Source organism: Homo sapiens, chromosome 9 (assembly GCF_000001405.40).
Source record: "Homo sapiens chromosome 9, GRCh38.p14 Primary Assembly".
Lineage (NCBI taxonomy): Eukaryota > Metazoa > Chordata > Mammalia > Primates > Hominidae > Homo > Homo sapiens.
Window position 1 is genome coordinate 65,572,266 of NC_000009.12, and position 22,926 is coordinate 65,595,191.

Consider the following 22,926-nt stretch of genomic DNA (forward strand, 5'->3'; position numbering starts at 1 on the left):
ATGCTCAAATTCCCACCACAGTCATAAAACTTAAGAGCATCTAAGTCTCAAGCAGCTTTTAGTTTCTTTCTTAAGAATCCAACTAATCTTGTGTTCCACCTTGTAGCCTTCTATAAAGTGTGACCATTCACTTGGTTGATGATTAATGATTCAGCTAGTAATTACTAAACAGAAAGGAACCAGAAATAAGAATCACAAATTTACACAAAACATTTCATGTTCTTAATGCTAAACTTGAAGGTAAAACACTAGGAAGGTAGAAAACACAATGTTGCTATTTGTTTTGTTCTTTTAAAGAATGAAGAAGTCAGATTTCCTGGTCCTTGTGTAGGCTCTCTTCCTGACAGGGTTTCTCAAACTTTTCTGCCAAAGTCCCTAGTTATTAGAGGCAGGAGGGTAAACTTGGACCCCAGCAGTCTGGGGGATTGCCCTGAAGGGCCATTAGCAAGGACCAATTATTTCTTTCTTTTTTTTTTTAAAAAAAAAAAGACATGTTTACTTAAATAATAGGTTACTTCATCTTCATTATTTGCATTATATAAAAATAGGATTTTTTATTAATAAGAAAATAGCAGATTCTTTTGTGGCCTTAAGTTTTAGCTCTAAAATGATGCAAACTTTGCATTTTATAACGTAGTATATTTTATACAACTTAATATAAAAATGGTGTTTTAAACCATCTGCCATCAAAAAACCTCTGTGGCCCTCAGAGAGGCTTCTTATATATCCGGGGACACCCTCAGCGAGCAGCTACTGCAGTGTGGCCTGGGGCACTTGCACCCAGGTGAGAGGTGCTATGGGGTGTGGTGGTTTGTTAAACTAGCTGCCACTGTCCCAGGTTGTATCTTTAATGACTACCATTTAGTGAGCACTACTATGTGCCAGACTCTACGCCAAATGCTTTTATATGCTTATGCCATTTAAATTCTCACAACCACCTGCCTAAGGCCACACAGCTGTAAGGTGGCAGAGTGGGGATTCAAACACCTGTCTGCTTGGTTTCAAAGCCAACTGTGACCCCCTGCTGACTCTTAGAGGCCAAGGCTGAAGCCCCTGGCTGAGTGAGTGGTGGTGACCTGGGGAAAGGACTGTTGTGGTGCATCTGGAAAGAGTGTGGGGGGTGTTCCGAAGGTAGTGCCTTATCTCAATTGATTGTTCACAGTCAGTTACAGATCAAACTCCTTGTTCTGCTCCTTCCCCCTTCTCACTATTGCACTTGACCAGTCTTTTAAAAAAATACATACAATGCAGGTCTAATACGAGAAGGGTCAGAAAAGCTAGGCTTAGGTCTAGCTCTGCCTTTGACTAGCTATAGGTTCTTTAGGGAGGCCCTCAGCCCCATCTATAAATGGGACTATAAAGGTCTGTGAAAGGGGCAATGGAAAAAAGATGAATGTTGAGCCACATCTCAGGCTCCTTTCTTGCTCCACTGCTTATCAGCTGTGTCATCTTAGGCACATCACTATGACTCTAAGCCTGTTTCCTCACTTCTAAAATGTGAAGAACAATACCCACCTCACAGGGCTGCTGTGGGGATGAAAAATAATACACATGAAACACCTGGAACAGAGTTTACATATAGTAGTTGCACAATAAATGCTTCCCAATAGTAGTTATCCTTATAATAGTGGTATTAGCAATACTACTAAAGTATTATTATATAAAGTAGTATTAGCAAAGCTACTAAAGTATTCATATTTTAAAACTGTGATTATTAAAGTGAGAAAAATATATGAAAGGAATACTACAAATTAAGGTAATCCATTAAAAATAAGGAGCTGGAGGCTAGGCATGGTAGCCCACACCTGTAATCCCAGCACTTTGGGAGGCCAAGGTGGGTGGATTACCTGAGGTCAGGAGTTCGAGACCAGCCTGACCAACATGGAGCAACCCCGTCTCTACTAAAAACACAAAAAATTAGCCAGGTGTGGTGGCGGGTGCCTATAGTCCCAGCTACTCGGCAGGCTGAGGCAGGAGAATGGCATGAACCTGGGAGGCAGAGCTTGCAGTGAGTGGAGATTTTGTCACTGCACTCCAGCCTGGGCAACAGAGCGAGGCTCCATCTAAAAAAAAAAAAAAAAAAAAAAAAAACCAAAAAAGAGGAGCTGGAGGAGGCCCACCTTAATGTACGCTAAATAGTTCTTCTGGTTGAAGGCCTGGAGTTCCCTGCAATGGGTGGGGAAGGGGATTAGCCTGGGGAAATAATGCCTGGGTCAAGTTAGGGAAGATCCAGGTCCCTCTGCTGAGGGACAGTTTGGAGGACAGAGCCTGACCCTCCATGAAGAGAGACTCTCAAGGTCTCTTTTAGCTTTAACATTGGCTAAGTGTGATTCTATGTCTCAGCCAGTCTGCCCTAATTCCTCAGTGTGGGCAGGACATGAGAGACAACCCACCAGTATCTCAGTGAGTTTGTGTGGCACCCACCTTGGCAGTCACACACAGACACTTCCCAGAGTCTCAGTGATGACGATTCTCTCTAAGGGGAACCCAAGCCTTAACCAAAGACCACCTCTCCATCTTCCTGCTGGGGCCTTGCAGGTCAGCCTAGAGGGAGTTTTCCAGAGCAGGTGGCTTCCTGAGTGGCCAAGATCATGTGAGCAGGATAAGTTCTCTTCTCGCTGGGCCTTTCCTTCCTAAGCTGGTGTCCCAGGCACCTCTCTCTGTTTGGAAATCAGATTCTTTATGGTTTATTTTTGACACCAGATAATCGCTGCCCAAGTTTCATCAATTTGTCACTGTTTTTATTGTCAGCAATTGCCCATAACTGGAGCACGTTTAAAATGTCATTGATCTTGATATTACAGTGTCATAATCTGACAGTAATAGGTGTAGCCAGCACAGGAAGCCCAGGCCCTGAGATTGATGGCGCACAGCACACCAATTATATTCTGTCCATCTAAGTGATAAAAGAGTATGTAGGAGGCATTCAATAGATAAATTAGATATCACTCCCAATTATGTCCTTTATTTATGGAGTCATATGCTCCCCTTAGAACTTTTTTTCTTCATTTGGCTTGTAAAGGGGAATTACTTGACCCCCCTAAAGACTAGGACTGCCTCCCCTGCCTGTCCCAACTTGGGTTCTACCCTGATCCCTTCCGACAGGCTCATAGTCTTTCACCTGGGCTTTCTCTGGGACTCACCTAGGAGTTCCCCAGTGTGGTAGGTCCACAGGTGTAAAGGGAAGGAGGCAGAGGTGCTTCACCATTTGGGAAGGAGTTGGGTCAGGCCTTTGGGAAGGACTAGGAAGTCTGACAATGCCTTTAATGTGACACTGCCCAAATAAATGAGACCGGGAGAGGGGCTGGAAAATGGGTAAAAATCCTCCAGTCCAGACAACAGAGCCTTCAAATTAGGACAACTAGTAATTGGCTATGGCTGGGGAGGAAGAGGATGGTAAAAAGGTTTTCAGTCCTTAAGAAGTGAATTCATCCATCCCTCTACCTCCACTCCAGACTGGGTGGGGCCAATTCAAGCCCTTCCTCAGAAGAACTCCCAGAATCTTCTACATCCCCATTCTGATCCATATCAGATGACTTCCTCAGCTCAAGTCCTAGCTCTGCCACTGTGGTAGGGACATAATACCAGCTTTCCTGGGGGAGGCAGAGGGCTCCTGTTTGAGAAAAAGCCCCAAGAATGGTTCATTTCCAAGAAGAGAGCTCACCTGAGGCAGGGAAGTGCCTGGCCAAGGAATAGAGGTACAGTGAAGGCATAACTTTATTGGAGGCCTGGCTTATAAGCATCATAAACTCTGAGGACAGCCTTGACCTGGTCCAGACCCCTGTATCCCCATCCCCCAAAGCCAGCAGGAAACATGGCAGAGGCCGAGACACCAAGTAGTAAACAGTGATCTAGGTCCATTGATCGAGCTTTCAAAGAGAAAGTGTCCATGGGTTGGGCTGCTCTCCATTGCCCTGTTGCCATCTCAATGTTATAAATAATTCTGGCACTAAGTGCCCTGTCACACCGAGTGGAAGTAGTTCTTATAGAGTGAAACCTGAGAATATGGGTCATGGGAGGAGGGGTGACTGGGGGCAGGGGTAGAGATGGGGAGCGATCACCCCAAGGCTCCTCAACTACACCCCTAGGCTGGTGATAGATGAATTTCTGGAGCAGAGGATGGCATTTCAAATGAAATGGTTATAGGAAATGAGTGTGATTTAAACAACGTCTTGGCTGATAAGCACCAGCCAGCTGGGGGGAGATGGCAGGCTAGAAGTGGAGGAATCAAAAGCCCAGAGGCCCCCAGTGTTAAGTAGCTGTCTGAAGCTCCGCTCAAACACACACACCAGCTTTGGTCTCAACATGTTTTTAAGAGCTGGTTATGATTTCCTTGAGGGCGGCTCAGATTAAGACTAGAGTGGAGCCCCCAGCTAAGCACCTTCAATAACTGTCCATCACATCCTCTTTAGAAACAGCAGCCTCTTCCCCTTGGCTCAGGGACCCTGTAATTGGGGAGGGCTGTGAAGCTGCGTGGCTTGTCAGCCTGTTCCCAGGCAGCACGGGGCCTGTCTGTCCTTTGCCTGGGGTCCTGCCCTGGATCCCAGGAAAAGAGATTGAGCCCCACCCACAGAGAGCTCTCAGTCTTCAAGAAGAGACAAAACATGCAACCTAGAAAAGAAGAGAGGAAGCAAAGAGAGCAAAAGGATGGAAGCCAAGGAAGAGGAAACTGTCACCAAATCCAGAATTTGGGCCTTTCTCACCACATGCACTGCTGCCATCCTGGTCCAAGCCACACATTTCTCACTTGGATTAGTGCAATGACCTTTCAACAAGTCTCCCTGCATCTTCCCTTGGCCCCCTGTGATCTATTCTCAACACAAAAGACAAAAAGACTATTTAAAAACTGAAGTTCAGGCCAGGTGCAGTGGCTCACGACTATAATCCCAGCACTTTGGGAGGCCAAGGTGGGTGGATCACGAGGTCAGGAGTTCAAGACCAGCCTGGCCAAGATGGTGAAACCCCGTCTCTACTAAAACTACAAAAATTAGCTGGGCATGGTGGCAGGTGCCTGTAATCCCAGCTACTTGGGAGGCTGAGGCATAAGAATCACTTGAACCTGGGTGGCAGAAGTTGTAGTGAGTCAAGATTGTGCCACTGCACTCTAGCTTGGGTGACAGAGTGAGACTGTCTCTCAAAACAAAACAAGACCCTGAAGTCCAATCATGTCTTTCCTCTCTACTTCACTCCGAGTAAAAAGCAAAGTCCTTAAGTTGACTTACGAGGCCGAACATCGTCTGTTCCCTCCTTACCTCTCTGATGCCATCTCCTCCCACTCTTGCTCACTCCCACAGACTTGCCAGGCATGTTCCTGCCTCAGGGCCTTAGCACCAGCCACTCCCTCTACTGGAATACTCTTGCCAAGATGTCTATGGGGCTAACTTCCTCTCTCACCTCTAAGTCTTTGTTCAAATACCATATTCGCAGTGAGCTTTCCTTGACAACCATATTAAAAACCTCAGATTTCCCCTCCATGCTGATCCTTCTGTACGTGATCTATTCCTTTTCTGTAACAATTATCATTTTCTAATATATGATATAATTTACTTATTTAGTAAGAATATTGTTCATTATCTGTCTTTCTCTGCTAGAATGTAAACTCCACACAGGTGGGGGGTCTTTCTCTGTTTTGATCACCAATGTATTCTAAGAATTTGGAATAGTACTCAATAATAATTGCTTAGTGAGTAAATGCAAAGGATGAGGTTCACCAGGGGAGGGTTTGGAGAAGAGAACAGAGGGGAGGCCATCCCAGGCTTGGGATGAACTTGTGCCTTATCTCACAACAGGCCATGTGTGAGGATCTGAGAGTCCGAGTGTTGGGCACAAGTTCAAGAGTCGGGCTAGGACATCACCCAAAATGGAGAGATTCAGTTATCAAAGAGACTAGGCTGGATTTACCTCTGGAATCTGGTGGAGGACTTGGCTTTAGGTTGGGATTTTACCATCTTCATGACCAAAGCATACTTGGGGATAATAATGCCAAAGGGATGTGCAGGGCAAGAATGAGGTGGTTGGGAATGGAGGCAGACTGGGAATTCAGGTGGGGGAGGGTAGCTGAAAGAACAGGCATGTGTCTTCTAAGTCTGGAAAAAAGATTGAGGTGGAATTAGAGGGCCTGAAAGAAAATTGTGTATGCAAGTGGGAGGAAGAGCCTGGGTCACTGGAAGCTATCATCTCCAAGAGCATGTTCCATCTCCACTGAGGGCAGAATCAAAAGCCATGGGCTGCACCTAAAGTCAAAGGAACTAGAGTGAGACATCAAGAAAGGCCTCCCAACAATGTGACAGGTGGTGGAGGGGAAGCACTGGGCCTTTTTCTCTGGAAAACTTGAGCAGGACCTAACTGGGTACATACCTGAGCCAGGCTAACCCAGTGGGCACTGTGAGGCTCTGGGGTGGGAGTGTGGTACTAGAGCCCCGAAGAGGGTTCCTGCCTCTGCCTGGCTCCCAACTCCATCCTCTCACCTGCGAGGCTTCTGAGCTTCTAAGCACGCAGAAATGTCCTCTCTCCTGACCTCAAGTTTCTGCATCTTTTCAGAGTGGAAACTGAGAGTATTTAGTATTCCAAGGCCCCACCAGTCCAGGGGCCAAAACATGTTTACCACATCTCCTCAGAATATCAGTGCTCAACTCGGTTTTGTGGTGGCCTCAGGGTACGAGCCAGGAGAAGCAGAAAATACCTTTGGAGGTTATACAATTCAGTGGTTACTGCAGTTCTAATGGAGTGAGGACATGGGTGGCCTGGGAGTTCTGAGGTTCTGGGGAGACTTACTTGTCACTGTATAACTTTTGGTGCCTTTTGAGTTTTGAACCATGTACGTGTATTTCTTATTCAAAAAACATAAAACAATTAAAATCAGATGAAAGCAACAACAATAACAACAAAGAATAGGTCTAGGGAAGTGGGAACTTGATGCCTCCAATTGCTACCCTGAAGGCAATGACCTGCCTCCTATTGCCCATGTGTACCCTCCTCCACGTCTGGCATCTCCATTCTCTAGAGGCTCAGAGAGGGGTGTGGAAGGCCTGATGTCACCCAGCATTTAAGATTAGCAAAATTCTGGGGCTTAGCTGTCCAGACTCTCAGTGTTGTCTTTCTTTTCTGATCCTCAATGACCCCGTCTACTCATTGACCTGTCCATGTTTTTGGCAGAACTTTGCATATGCTACAAATCAACCTTCAATGGGTCGTTTTTAAAACTGTGTGGTCTTAAATGCCACCTTTCCCAGGAAGTAATCTCTTTTCACAAAGAGAAAGAGATGACAGCTCTCCTCTCCCCCAGTGTGGTGTCTGATGTTTCATTCCCTCCCTTCCTGCCTCCCTCCTCCCTACCACCCTCTACCACTAAAGTGGCTCTCCACTGAAACTTGGCCCTGTCTCTGATGAGATATGTGACTTTGAGCAAGTCATTTAACCTTTCTGTGTGTCTGTTTCTTCATCTGCAATTGAGGATCCTGACCTTCCTCCCATGGCTCTTCACTTATGCATTTGTACAGCAAGCATGTATTCTGTGCCTGGTGCTGAACCTGGCACTGAGGATCACACAAGACAATGTATGTGAAGTTAATACAGAGACAGAAAGTTACTGCCAAGGCCTCCTTCCTTGGATGCTGTTCTGGGCTGGGTGCTCCAACCCCCTCATCTGGCATGCCCTTGGAGGAACTGCTTCACAGTCTACTCCAAACCTCTCAACTTCTAGCATTGCTCCTGGGCTGAAGCCGATATCCTGCTCTGCATGAAGGGTCAGGGGGTGCAGAAATAGCCTATTTCCCAGGCTTTTTCATTTGGTTAGATCCTTAGGTATCACTTTGCCTACAAGAAGGAATAATGTTGAAATCTGTCTGTTGGTCTTTAGTCTGGAATTTTCAGTGTCCACCTCTCTTGCCCTCTGTGGGCCTTTCCCTGGGACTTGGGCTGGAACAAGGGGTAGGAAATGGATTCTATCCATGTCCTCACTCTGCTCATTTCTCTCCTTTCCTGAATCCCATGCATCCATGGAGATTGGTACAGTGGCTAAGATTCTGGGATTGGAAACTCACATTTGTCTCCCTCCAAATGTAAGCTGGCTGTGGAGGAAAGATGGTCCCTTCTTTAAAATGAACACCACCATCTCAGAGTATACAGTAGCTTGCTTCAGGCAGAGGAGGCAGAGCTGCCTTCCAGAGCTCTTGGCAGGAAGCTGTCCCCACTCCCTGCCTGACCACCGAGGATTGGGTGAGCATCACTGGGAGGGAGCGGTGTTTATAGAAAAAACGTGCTGCTTCAGCCCTGGTCATTGCTGATGGACCATGGCAGCAAGGAAGGTCAAGTCCAGACTAAGGAGGTACTTCTCATTATCAGGGACTGGGTTTAAGGTGAGAGGTTGTTTGGAACTACTCAGACACGGTCTTCCCAGAGCAAGGAGGAAGGGTGAGATGATCTGGGAGTTGTGAAGGACTCAGGGGTTCCATGATGTTGCAGAGCTGGCAGTGACTGGGAGGATGCCAGGGAGATGTCAGTTCACCCATGTCTAGAGCAGAAACCCCATGGTCAGAGACCAGGTATCTGCAACCCCAACATTCCCAGCATAATGCCTCGCACAAGGCTAACTGGAGACTGAGGAAGACAAGTCCTTCCCTGGAAGATGGTGCCAACACTGTGCTCACAGAAGGACAGCTACTTTAAAGCCCCAGCAAGAAAATGATCTCACACTGTGGGACCTGGAAGTACTTCTTCATGTCCAGCCTCAATCCTCCTTACCACAGCTCAATTGGATCTCAGTCCAACCTGTGGGATTTGTCCATGCCCAGAGGTGAAACCCAGCAAGGAATATGGACTTTGCTTTTAGGCCTACGCTGTTGGCTGTGGGAGATAGAACAAGTTGGCCAAACTGTCGAGTACCTGTCTCCACACCTGGGGAGTCCCCAGGAAAGTGGAGAGGGAAGATCTTCCAGGGAACGGCCACCCTCCATGAGGAGATAAGCAGAACAGCAGAGGGCAAGGAAGGTTCAGTGGCCAGGAGAGGTGGGGCTCAGGGAGTCCCTCCTGGCTGGGGGTGAGGGAGCTTCCTGGATGCTCAGCCTCTCCAAGCCCCTGAGGAAAGACTGTAGCTTCTGGAGGGCAGGAGCTGATCCTGCATCATCTCGGCAGACCAGTGCCCAGCACACAGCAGATGCTCAAAACACATGGGTCGAATGAATGAGCCTGCGGTCAAGAGCCTGCCCAGCCAGCAGGTGGAGTGGGTCTTTGGAGAAGGGATTCCCCTCTCTGGGCCTCCATTTCTTCATTTGTAGAATGAGGGGCTGCAGTAGATTGTCTCTAAGGTTTTGTCAGCCCCTGACGATCTGTGGTTTCCTGTTTCCCTGCTCTCTCGTCAATTCCTTGCCAATTCTCTTTCCCTCTACAGCTTCTCTTTTCCTTTCCCTTTAAGTCTTTTTCTTCCACTAACCCCCAATCTCTGCACCCCCGTTTTCAGTCTCTCCCCTCCCCAGACAATTTCTCTGGCTTTCCCCTTTACAGGTATTTCTTCCTCTCTGCTTCTGATAACTGCCCCCATCACTATCCTTCCCTGATGCCTTCAGTGTTCTGCACCCCCTGCCCCCCAAAAGCCGCCCATTCTAGTGCCCCTTTCATCCACCTTAGATCCCAGAGGCGGGAGATTGGAAGAAAAGGAGGAGGGTCCTAAAGCAGCCACTCCCCTGCCCCTGCAATGGCCCCACCGCGATGTCCCCGTCCCCCCGCCCCGCCCCCCTCCCCACCACGCCTCTCCCTCAGCAGCCAGTGCCGCACTGAGCCCTCGCCCCACGCTAATGCGATCTGGAGAGACCCTGTCGGTGCGGGCGGCGGGCAGTCTGGCCCAGCGTCCAGGGCGGCGCTGATGGATGGTCCCCTGACAGTAATCGCAGAATGAGGACGCGCAGGTGACGCTCTTGCCCGAGGCCCTGCTGTTTGGCTAGCCCAGGAGTCTCTCCCTCCGCAGCGTCTGCCTTCTGGGCGCTCTCAACTCACTCGGCTTTGCGGGAGGCGCAAAGCCTCAGGTTAGGGCAGAGGTGCGGGCTTCCTCTGCTCTCACTCTCCCAAGACACTGGTTTCTGTTTGGGAACAGATCCCTTCTTGGATCCACGCTGCTTCTGTGATTCTGAACAAGCCACCCATCTCCTGGAGTCTCAGTTCTCCCTTCTGTATAATGGCCTTTAAAGCCTGGTGGAGTGTTGGGGGCACGGGAGATAATACTGAGGAAAATCACGCTCTCTCTTAAGTAGAAACCGAATTTCACTTTTAGTTTACAATGCTCAGAATAATCTGGGCCAAATGTGCAAAGCCAAGTAAGAGCTGAGTGGCTACTCACACACAGAATATATGTTTATACACATACACATAATGTTTTTAGCATACCAGGACTGCTTAGACGTCTTTAAAGAGAACACTAGCCCAGGTCCTTCTCCAGGGAGGCGACTGTCTCCAGCAGGACTTTTTCTCCCCTCTACTGAGGCCACCTACCTGTCTTAAGCCCCCAGACCCCATCCGTTCTGGGGTTCCCCTGCAATCCAGAGCCAGGCTGAGGTGGTATGCGGGAAGATCTCCCTTTGGAAAATGTTTCTGGATAATTTCCCAACTCCTTGACCATGTTCTCCCCACCTCACCCACATTCAGATAACACAGGTTCTAAGGCTCCTTCACTCCTCCACCCCTGGGGGATACTCCTTGGGCCTGGCCCTGTGGAGGGGCTGGGAGGTGGGATCCAGAACCAATTGCAATTCTGAACGCACACCCAGCCGCCTCCTCACTCCCTTTTAACCTTTCCCTCTAGTCAGAAGCCAAATTGAGATAGTCTTGAGTTTTGATTTAATTCCTGAAATGGAGTCATAATCTGCTTAGTGTCCTTTCTCCCGAGTCCTAGATACTGAAGTGTGTGTGTCTGTCAGGGGGAGTTAAAAGAGCAGCTCTGTGACCTTTGGAGGACCCTCACACTCACTCACCTCCCAAACACCACCAAAGAGCAGGAGACGCCATGGCACTGAGTTGCTGGGTAGTATGATGATGGTACTGACAACTCACATTTACTAGGCACTTACCACATGCCAGTACTGAGACAGGCACTATACACGCATTTCTCACTTAATTCTCACAACTACCTTTCAGGTAGGTACCATTCATATCCCCAACTTACAGATGAAGAAACTGAGGCTTAGCGAGGTTAAGCAGTTTATGTTCCATCCTGCAGTGATCACAGACGGTCCTCGACTTATGATGCTTTGACTTACAATTTCTCAGCTTTATGATGATGCCGAAGTGATATGCATTCATTAGATACTGTACTTCTAATACTCATACAACCGCTCTGTTTTTCACTTTCAGTACAGTATATTATAACATGTTGAATCTCATGTTGAATACATGAGATGAATAAATATCTCATGTTGAATACATGAGATATTCAACACTTTTTTATAAAATAGGCTTTGTGCTAGATGATCTTGCCCAACTGTAGGCTGATGAACGTGTCCTGAGCACTTTAAGGTAAGCGAGGCTGAACTATGATGTTTGGTGGGTTAGGTGTATGAAATGCATATCCACCTTACAATATTTTCAGCTTGCTACAGCTTTATCGGGACACAGCCTCATCGTAAGTCAAGGAGAGTCTATTATTAAGCGGCAGAGCCCAAATTTGAAACTACACAGTCAGACTGCAGAGCCTGTGCTCTTAACCACTTAGTTGTGTGACACCTGGCAGGGTATTTAACTTCTGCACGCCCTGTTCCCTCATTTGCAAAACACAGATAAGTAGGGATGATAAGACATTCCCTTCAAAGAATTATGTTGATTAATTGAGCTAAGGCATTCACCATACTCACAGTAAGCATTCAGTAGTTTAGGTGCCCTACACATTGGAGCAGGGTTGAGGAAGGGAAAGAGTACAATCCAATGGGCTATTAATTGTTCATTGTTACTGTTGATAATAATAGTTATCATGCATTGAGAGCCAACTGAGCATAGGCCACCCTACAAGGTTAAAATTATGTCTGTTTTACAGATGAAGAAACTGAGTTTCACATAAATTATGTAAATTACCTAAAGCTATCCAGTTAATAAGTGACAGAACAGAGCTCTTGTTTAAACACTGGGCCCTTGACTCCAAAGCCTGCAGTTCCCAGCACCCCCAGGGTCACCAAAACCTGGCCTCTCCTGGGAGAGGTCAGGGCTGAGGCCAACAAGCCCAAGTCACACCCTTTACCACCTGGGACCTGATTTTCTCCAGGTGAGCAATGTTTTCTTAAAAGAACAGGAGGACAGTAAATAATTAACCAAGACAGTTTCTCCCTCCCTGAAGCCAAGGTAGAACCTCCCCACTACAGCCAACCCCCACTCTCCTCACTCCTGTTTCCTCTGTGCTCAAGTTTGTGGCCATTAAATAGAAGAGGAGAAAGTTTGAGCCAGGCATGAAATATTTATCAGTTAATTACAATATGCAGATTCTGTTCCTAGGGGTGATTTATCTTTTTGGAAATATAGGAAAAGATCCTGGAAACTTGTATCCTAATCGCTCGGCCTATTATTGTAGCAACCAGGTAGAAACTCCATTTACTATGTAACTACAAATTTTCCCACTACTGGAGGTATCTGCCTCTGCTTCTATCACTGGTGGTCTGGGGAAAATATGCTTTTCTGATAAGAGATGAGCCTCTTAGAGGTCAATTTGTCAATTCCTCTGTCTCCTCTTTGGGTGGCCTCTTTGTAAATTCTAATAGCTACAGGAAATGAAAAGGGTGAGAGTCTCTGAAATTCTGGGATCTCAAGAGAAGCTAATTCTAAGTGAAAACCTCCCCGACTGAAGCAGTGCCACTGGTGAGGGGATGTCCAAGGTTGAGAAGCAGCTCTCAGCTGAGCATCCCTCCCCTCCCTTGCTCTGGCAGAAGTGTCAGCCCTCCCCCTTATCTCTTGTATTATTTCCTAGGGCCTGCATCTCAATCTCTGGCTACACATTAGCAACCTGGGGAGTTTTAAAAATCCAGATGCCCAGGCCCTACTACAGGCCAAACAAATTGGAATCCCTGGAGGTGGGACCCAGGCATCAGTATTTTAAAAAAAACTTGTGGCTGGGTATGGTGGCTCACACCTGTAATCCCAGCACGTTGGGAGGCCGAGGCGGGTGGATTACCTGAGGTGAGGAGTTTGAGACCAGCCTGGCAAACATGGTGAAACCCCGTCTCTATTAAAAATACAAAAATTAGCTGGGCATGGTTGCAAACACCTGTAATCCCAGCTACTCGGGAGGCTGAGGAAGGGATAATTGCTTGAACCCAGGAGGCAGTGGTTGTAGTGAGCCGAGATGTGCCACTGCACTCTAGCCTGGGCGACAAGAGCAAGACACCATCTCAAAAACAAAAATGAACAAACAAAAAAACTCGCTGGGGGTTCCAATGTGCAGTGAAAGTTGAGACCCTCTAGAGCTAATAGAAGAGTATCACTGCCTGGTAAATGGGCCCTGCTTATCTGCAAGACTGTGTAATTTTTATCCCTCCCTCTCTGGTGCTGGAGGAGGCAATTCCTTCACTTTTTAGAATCTGAAGAACATCTCTCTTTCTTCACAAGAAGCTTGTAACACAATAACTACCACTTATCAAGCCCCTGCTGAATGCTTGGATCTATGCACATAAAATTCAATCTGATCTACAGAACAACTCTATAAGGTCAGTGGGTATGTCTATTTTATGGATGGCTCAGAGAGGTTAAGTAATTTGCCCAAGTTTGTACAACTAGCAAGTGTCAGATCAGGGACTTGAATCACAAACCCATGCTTTTAACCCCTGTGGTACACTGCCTCTCACTTTCTCAGGGCCAGAAGGGAAGGGCTTCAGGTCAACCATATGAAGTGCCTACGGAATGTCTTGGGGAAGGAAAGAAGAGAGAAGCAAGGAGAAGTATAGGGAAGCAGACAAGGGCTACAGATGCATAGGGCATGGAGGGCAGAATGGTGGCTGGGAAAGACTGAAGAGGGTTTGTAGGGCTAAGAGGAGGTACCTGAAGGAGGGTGTGGTAAGCCAACACGTGCATGGGAAGGGGGCAGTGGCTATGGAGATAGCTGGGGAGTGGGGGAATGGGGTCCAGGAGTGGGTGCCGGCAGTTGGAACATCCAGAACAGTGAGCAGTGCCCATCGTGGACTGGGTGGTTGGGGAGTGGGAGGGACCTCGTGTCAGAGGAGGGGTCTTTGTGAGCATGAAGTAGTGAGGAATGCTCCACCATGAATACTAAGGGCAAGAAGAGAAAGGGCCAGAGGGGAATGGGTGATGTTTAGCTGCTGGGGTGATTAATGGGGGTGAACGGAGGGTGAAACTCAAGCCCTTCCAATGAAGATGGTGGGGAATGGTTGTCCAAGAACAACAGTGCACTGTTTCAAGGAGAAAGCCAATGTCCAGGGGAGGGGTGGCTGAGAAGGACGCTAGGCACAGTTGCTCCTTCCCTTTTTTCCCAAGTTCTCTTTATTTACCACCAAACAGTAAATTAAACTATATTAGCCAGTTCCAGGGGACCCTCTGAATGGGCTTCCTACCTGTCTCGTGGCTTGGAAGAGACCAAGGAATGTTGGCGTGGCTTGGAGAAAGAGTGAGTGAGGTCTGGGCTGAAAGTTGAGATGACTCCATGGACCACCCCCTCGTGGGGCACAAAATGGTGATGTGCTGGCAAGAGCCACTGGCTCCCTCTGGACCAGACAGGCACTGAGAGATACATGGGTGTTGGGCCCTCAGGTGTCCTGTAGAAAGTGGTAGTGTTCTTAGAGCAGTTTTTAGAGCAGCCCCTTGGCCTCAGGGAGGGACACAGGGCTCCTTTTCTGTGAGAGAGAGAGAGTTGGGGGAACAAGGAGAGAGGGCTTCCCATGGCTCTGGTTTCAGGGTGTTGACCTGGGTTTGAAGAATGGAGATAAACCTTGTGGGAAATAACAGGTTTAAGCCACTCTCCCCTCATTTCCTACTTCTGTCTCTTCCTCTAGGTACAGCTGTTGGGAGCTGCTTCTCCCGCCCTCAATCTCCCTGTCTGTGGTTCCAGAGGGAAGAAGAGGGGGAAAAAAAGGATGAAGAGAACTGTTTCAGTGCTGGGGGAGGTGAGCTTATAGCAGGGATTTAGATGGGAAATACCTCATGGGATAGGAGCAGTTTTCTCCCTCTCCAGGCCTCTCACAGATGTGAAACAACTGGCAGATCTGACTTTCCCACCCCTAACCATTGGAGGGGATGATGTGTCTTGAAACCTGTGCTTCTCGATTGAGAGGCTGGTGGGGGAAGAGAGGTCAGGAAAAGGGGCCAGATGTGTGTTCAGGGGTCCCCAGGGAGTTGAGGGAGACTAGCATCTCCTTAGGGTAAGGAAGGCAAAATGCCCATTCCTGATCCCAGATTGCTTGGATACTGTGCCTGGGAGTCCTCCTACCTCACCTTAATTCCTGTCTCCACACACAGCTTGGCCAAGTTTCTTCCCCTGTTGGAGTCTCACTCCCAATCCCCTACTCTATCTCTCCAGGAGCCTACAAAGCACTTTGAAATCCAAAGTTTGTGGGAGGTGGCTCTATCGCACAAATACTCTGAGGTGCAACATGACTTGACTGGTAATGAGGCAACCATCCCACCTAGGGCAGAGTTCAAGGACTGCCTTCAAGAGGGGCTGGCCTCAGTTTGCCTGTTACAGAAACCACGGGCTAATAGAGGCTGCCCTCTGCCTCACAAAGAAGGAGATAAATGGGTCCACTGGAGAGCAATGGTCACAATCAAGTCTTAATGATGAATTAATAATTCATAATTACCCCAGACTTGCAGATAAGCACAAGCCCACTGGAATTATTTCCCAGGGAGGAACACAGTCAGAAAGTGTGAGAAGGGGACTTCAGTACAGACATTACTTCCAGAGGCCATTAAGTTCATCCCTCTGCTTCCAAACCAGAACCTGGAAGACATTCATTAGCTTCCTTGGCTGATTCCTCCTAACAGCTACCACCCCCTGAGCTTCTAAACAGTGCCATATTGCCCCTCTGTTCTTCATAAGGCCAGAGGACCATTCCTGCCAAAGTGACCTCAGAACCTGGACTCTGGATTTCTGGGGTCTCTCTGTTCTCTGCTCCCCATTCTGCTATTTACATATGAGGTCCCCTGTAGGAGGGCCTGGTGCTAGGTGTCCCGGCGAGATGTGGACATCTTTCTGGCTCTTCTCCTTCTCTTATCTAAGTCCTCACATGGTGGGGAAATACCTCTCTAATGCTATGTAGAAAGAGAAGGAGGGAGTGCCCCTTCTAGCGTGGATGCCTTTGGTTCCCAGATCTGGATTTGAGGGGCTGGCTCTATCTCTTAAGAAGACATTTACCTAGCGTTGGTAATGGAGATGGGGCCTTAATAGGGCTAGGGAGGCACACCCAACTCCAGACCCAGCTCTCTGCTGTTCCCCTTCCCAGTGCACACAATCCCAATTCCCACTCCAGAAAATTTTAAAAAAACATATCTTAAAAAAAAACCTCGAAAAGCCAAGCAGATCCTCAGTTTCAAGGTATCTCCTCATTCTCTCTCTCTCTCTCTCTGTCTCTCTGAATCTACAAAGAAGGAGTGAGTTTTGTCTCTCCAAGTACTCAGAGCCTTAGATCACAAAGGGGCCTTAGATCCTGGTCTTGGGGAGATCTTTGACCACCACCTCTGCTGTGGCACGACCATTGTCAAAATGCTAGAAAGAAGAGAGACTGGCTCTTAGACCAAGGGAATTTGGGATTTGAAAGGACTTCCATTTCCAGTTCTATAGATTTCCTTCCCATTAGCCTCTTCATGTGCATCAAATGTAAATGGCAGGCTAAACTTACAGGATGAAGAGAGTTGAAAGACTGCTGCCTAAAAATGCCCTTTTCCAAATCTGTGGGTTCAGAAGCACATTGAAAAGCAGGTACCCAGCCTGGCGGTGTGGCACATGCCTGAAGTTTCACATGCTTAAGAGGCTAAGGTGGGAGGACTACTTGAGCCCAGGAGTTTGAGGCTTCAGTGAACTATGATGGTGCCACAACACTCCAGCCTGGGAAACAGAGCTGGACCCCATTTCCAAAAAAAAAAAAAAAAGTAGTTACCCAGGTAAGGTGGATGATCAAGTACACCCAGTGAGAAGCACACAAACCTTACCCTTTACCCAAACTCTCTCCCTTACCTGTCCCATTTCCGGTCTCTAGAGGAGGATCAGTTAGGGGGTGTGACCCAAGTTACCCAGATAATTAACTGTGGAAGCACGATTTTTTTTCACTCCTTTGGCCTCTAAATATGAGAGATCTTTACATCTCTTGCCTAGCTCCCTCTTATTCTCTACCCTCTCCCCAACACGCACGCAAATCCTAACAACAAAAAATCCTAAATATAGGAAGACAAACCTTCCTGACCTACCATTTTGGCCCACCTGCAACCCCTGTCCCCCGCCCCTCCCCAATTTTTTTCTCTCCTGAGCCTCTGCTCTTCGCTTCTAAAATAAAAAAAAAGAAGAAGAAGGAATTTTCAATAGTCCAACTTGTCAAGCGAAGACCATCTTTTAACCTTCAACAGCAGCGAAAGCCATGTGAACTCTTGGTGAACCAAGATTGAAGTCATAAATCACGTGTACAAAGGCGGCTGCGGAGGCTGGCGCGGGCTGCTTCACCTTTAATGCTTTCTGGGGCTGACAGGCAGCGGCCCAGCTAAAGTTCACAGTGCCCGGGGAGGGCCCGCCTCCGCCTCACCTCCCCCAGCCTGGCCTGGGCCCATGGCCCCGGACCGGTCAGCCGCGCGGCCGCCTGAGCTGCGAGCTGAGGAGGCCCCTTGGCTGTTCCCGCAAAGGGCCGGGGGGCGCATTTTCTCTCCTGCCAGCGAGCTCCATCCTGGTCCTTCCCTCACCCCCCACCCCCACAGCCTGCTGTATGTAAATAGGGAAATAGATCTACACGGACACAATAATTTAGCTTGGTTGGTCTTTGGCATTTTCTACAAGACCCCAAGAGATGGACTTTCCTCTCCCCTTCCTCCGTTTAGAAATGGCATCCTTCATCTCTGTCTATGCAGGCCCAATTATCCAGATCCTCAGGGCTCCAATAGGGTCTGAGTCATTGGAACCAGGAACACCTGGCTGAAACATGCCACATAATTAGATTTTCTTTTTATTTACCTTTTCTTTCTTATTTTTATAAGAGGTCCGGAATTAGCCTCTTCGACTGGGGTGGAGTAGCTGGGGTGTGGGAAAGGAACACCTTCATACAACTTCCAGCTTTCAGCCCCTTGGAGAGATTTCCAATTTCCCCGAAGCCGCTAGGATTTCCTTTCCTCGATCTCTTGGCCACCTCCTCCTCCTTCTCCGATCTTTTTTTTTTCCCTCCTCCCACTGTCTTCTCTACGGTTTAATCAAAGTTCAGCGACTCCACTTGCCTCTCCTCTCATTTCTTTCGGAAAGCGGAAACCAGACGACCCAGCGGCCATGGGACGAGTCGCCCCAACTCAACCCCAACAGGACGCTGGAGGGGCCTCCCTTGCCCACCTCTCTTCGCTGGCACTGGCCTCCCGCACCCGGGTCTGCAGTCCCTCCGCCATCTCACAGGTGTGCAGCCGCTAGGCCTGGGGGATCCGAATGACTGGGGCTGGATAGGAATGCCTTCGTGTTTCCCAAGACCCCGGGGCCTGCTCCACAAAGTTTGAAGGGTGGGTACACCTCAACCCAGGCAAGTTGCTCCCCCAAACCCATGACTGACTAATCTGATATGACAAAAGCCCATGATGGATTTGGTATATGTTAATTCACAATGCCTTTTCCTCCAGAATTTAACTATAAGTTAATACACACCGGAAACCACGCGCATACACGCTCCTTAATGGGCTTAGGTATTAGCGAGTCCTAACGATGCATACAAATGTGCTCTGCGCTCTGTAGACCCCTCAAGATTTATGGGCCTTGAGCTCTCTGAAGCTGTAAACAAGGAGAAAAAAAAAAGAGAAAGTGAAAGCGACTGGGGGGAAGAGACAGAGGCCTGACTCGCCCCTCTAGGTTTTGGAGAGAAGGGATTCTTTATGTATTTTCCTTTCCTTGCAAGCTCGGTGCGTGTGCGTTTTGGCGTTGGTCTGGGGGTGGTGTTCTGCCTGAATGCTGGTGTGCGTGGGCAGTGTGTTATTTGCGTGCTGGGGTAGGATGCCTGCCTCTTCGGATTCCTGTGCAGGGGCCTGAACACAGCAGGCATTTGTGAGCATATATGCGTGAGTGTGCACTGTGTTAGGGTGTGTGGGTGTGTATGTGTGTGTGTGTGAGAGACAGACAGAGAGGGAGAGGCAGGCTTCCCCCTGGGCCAGGCTGCTGTCCCTTGAACGGTGGTGAACAAATCTCTAACGACAATCATAATAACAATAAATAATGAATAATAATAATAAAACAGTAGTTAACAGTCCCTCCATAACAGAATAACAATAAAATGCAAGAGGAAATATTTTGAGGTGGAGACAGAAGGAGTCAGGATCACAGCATCTGAGGGGGAGATAGGAAAGGAAGGGAGGAAGAAAGCTTCTTAATATGCTCTTGGCGGGGCTGGGGTTGGTAAACCCTTTCCCAGACAAGGGACGGAAGAGGGGAAGGAGAGCCAGGAGGCCACTCTTTATTGCTTTTTTTTCTCAGGCTTTTGCTTTGTGTGATCAGGGAAGGGATCCCACATATGGGAATGGTTAATGGATTTTGGGACTCTCTAGGAGCCCCTGTTTTAAGAAGGAGGCCAAATGTGCAGGCTCAGGCCAAGCGCCAGAGATGAATGGGGTGATGACCACAGCCTTGATCCGGCAGGAGCTCAGAGATGCCCGGGAAGATGGGGTGCCCGAACAGAAGCAGAAAAACACTTGTGGCCGCTGGGAAGTTGGGAGAGCCAGGCTGGGGCTCCGGCAGGCCCAGGGAAAGTTCCCTTTCTAGGCTCTTTATTAAAAAATTTAAAAGGAGGAGTTGAGGCGCCTTGAATTTTCCTTCGTGAGTTTGGAGACCAGCCGATTTTTCATGAAGCTAGCAAAGACTGCGGTCCTGGATCCTGCAACATATACCTCATTTTCTCCAGGTACAGTTTTCTGGTCATTTAATTAGTTTGTTTTCTTGAGGGAGATGGGAATCAAAGGCGTAGAAATAGTAAGTTTGCTAGAGAGGAAGCCACCCCACAGTTTCGAGTCTAACGAAATCCCTCCTTTAAAAACATTTGTACCCCCAATAAAAACAAAATTAAATAGGAATATAGAAACACAAATTAGCCAACTTTTTTAAAAGAGAAAAAAGAAAAGGAAATCATCGTAACAAATGAGCGTGAGAACTTCTAAAAAATTTGTCACGAACCCTTTCAGAGGTCTGGATTCTTTTTCAGTAGCCGGTGACCCATTTGGTCTGAAAAGAGAAATACACTATCCACTGAGTCACTTATTTAAAGCCAACACACACACATACACACACACACACACACAAACACACGCATTCAGAAAGCCCTGGGTGCACTCGTATTTGAAAACAACAGCGGGTGGAGGACGCTGTGATACCTAATTGGACAAAACAGCAATAAAATAAGACCAGTGGAAGTGCTGAGCACAGGGCGCAGGGCTAGGGCCCGGGTTTTGTGTTCCAGGCCACCGGCGAGGCAGCGGCCCCGGGCGATGGGGGGCCGGGCGGTCAGACACCGGCTGGCGACTCTGCTCAGCCTCCACAGCCCAGCCTGCAGCCCCTTTCCCCCAGCCTCTGGGCCTCGTGGGCTCTCTCCGCTCCGACGCCTGTTCGGGGCTTCCCTGTTGAGAGGGTTTTAGGCCGAAGGGCCAAACGACTCAAGCCAGACTCTACTTTTTCATTTTTCTCCCTTAGGCCTCTCCACTTGCTCGAGCTCTCAGCCACCAGGAGACAGACGGAAGGGGCTTCTGGGCTGTGTTGGGAGCGGGCACTGTCCCCTACCCACTCCTGCACAGTTTCCCAAAGTCCAGCGACCTCCGACCCTCCTTGGGGGAAAAAATACCAGTACCCAGACAACTCTGCATCCTGTTATATGACTGGGCTTGCTTCAGGAATATCTTACAAAGAAGAAGAAGAAGAAGGAAGAGGAGGAACGGCTTGGAGTCATGTTTACATCTAGTTCTACTGATCCGTTCACATCTGGAGAGTTTATTTATAACTCCCTCTATAACTCTCTGTTTGGAGGCACTGGTGGCTCTACTGACAGACTGATGTCTAGGAAATATTGCTCTATGTCTAACCGTACCTAAATGTGCTGTGGTTGTATTTACAGATTTACGTTTGAGGGAAATATAATTATTTCCATTGTATTTGTGCATATACAGTAGTTATAGGAGCAGATTTATATATGGGAAAATATACGACTCTCTTACAGCCATCCGGCTTTATGTACATTTGATATCCTGACAGATTTATATCTCTGAACAGCTATATAGATAAAAACGTATATCGTTAGAATTATGTATCAGGAGATATATACTTATTGATTGTGAAATAGAGTAGTTAGAGCATTCACTTAGAGCCATATATGGCTATGGAGATATTTCTATATTATTATCACTATATATAGGCATATCTATTTATAACTGCATAGTTATAAAAATAGACATAATTATAGTCCTATATGTGCATGCTTCAATCTCTCTCTAGAGTTATAGACACTATCAAATATAACTCTATAGAGAGATCTGTATGTATATAAGGTGTAATTATCTTGTGATGTGTTTACGTTGGGACTTAGGCCCGTCTGTCTAGAACAGACATATTTATATGTAGGTGCTGGGAGAGACTTATTCACAGATATCTGCAGAGGACCAACTGGGAACACTGTATCTGCCCTCTAGGAAACCAGCTAGGAGAGTTGTGTACTTATGGAGGGATGGAGTTACAAAAGGGTAAATAGAGCTCAGGGAGCCTTAAGGAGGGGGTGTGAATGGAGGGTGGGTGGGCTCAGTTTGAACAGATAGTGGGAGGAAAGGGGTAAACACCAGCACCCACCAGAAGGTGAGAACCAGTTTTGTGAGGGGCTGGTGCAGACAACTGTGGACAAGGAGCTTGTAAAATGAGAAGCGGCTAACAGTCCTGCCACATCACCCTGAGACTCTCCACCGAGGAAGCAGCCTTTAGTTTGGCTTTTAGTGCACTGTAGGATACGGACTGTCGTGTCACTCCTGTAGTCCTACAGCGTTTCTCTTGAACCCTAATTTTTAGGTCTCAAACAGCGGGCTTCAGAGATAAAGAGGTTTAGGCAGGGGCAGGGCGAGGAGCATGGGGTGTACTTTCGCTTTCCAATAAGTGAGGTAATCCAGGAAAGTGAGTTAATTTGGCCAAATAAAGCTTGTTTTTATGTGGGCCTCCTGTGCCCTGGTGGGGTTGTAGGATGGGACCAGAATCTGGTGGACTGAGGAGTGAATTTCCAAGTATTGGGCCTGCTCTGATGGGGGCTTGGAGAGGTAGTCCTCCCCACCCGCCCTCCTTCTCTGAGGCCTCAGTGGCTTAATTCCCTCTGGGCACAGAGGGACTCCTTCAGCTCCCTAACAGTGCTGCCCTGGGTCTTTTCAGGGAGAATTTGACTTTAGGAACAGGGAACATGGACTTACCCCACTAGATCTCACTTCTCCCACTCACAGCTACACCACTCTTATGTCAGCCTCCTTCCAGGTGCCACTCGGCCAGGGGTCCACAGTTCTTCCCATGCTACCAACCAGCCCAGTGGGGAAATACCTCCCATGACTGCCAGTTTTTCTGTTTGTGTGTGTGTGTGTGTGTGTGTGTTTTAACCAGGGAGTTACAGATAACTTCGTTAACTGCGTGAAGGAATTGTCCTGAACTCAGTCTCTGTGGCCAACCTAGCCTCCAGGATCTCTAGGATGCTAGGACGGGAGTGGAGACCCTTGGACCAGGCTAACCACCATGTGCCATCCTCCACACACCCCTGCCCACAGGACTAGGAATTC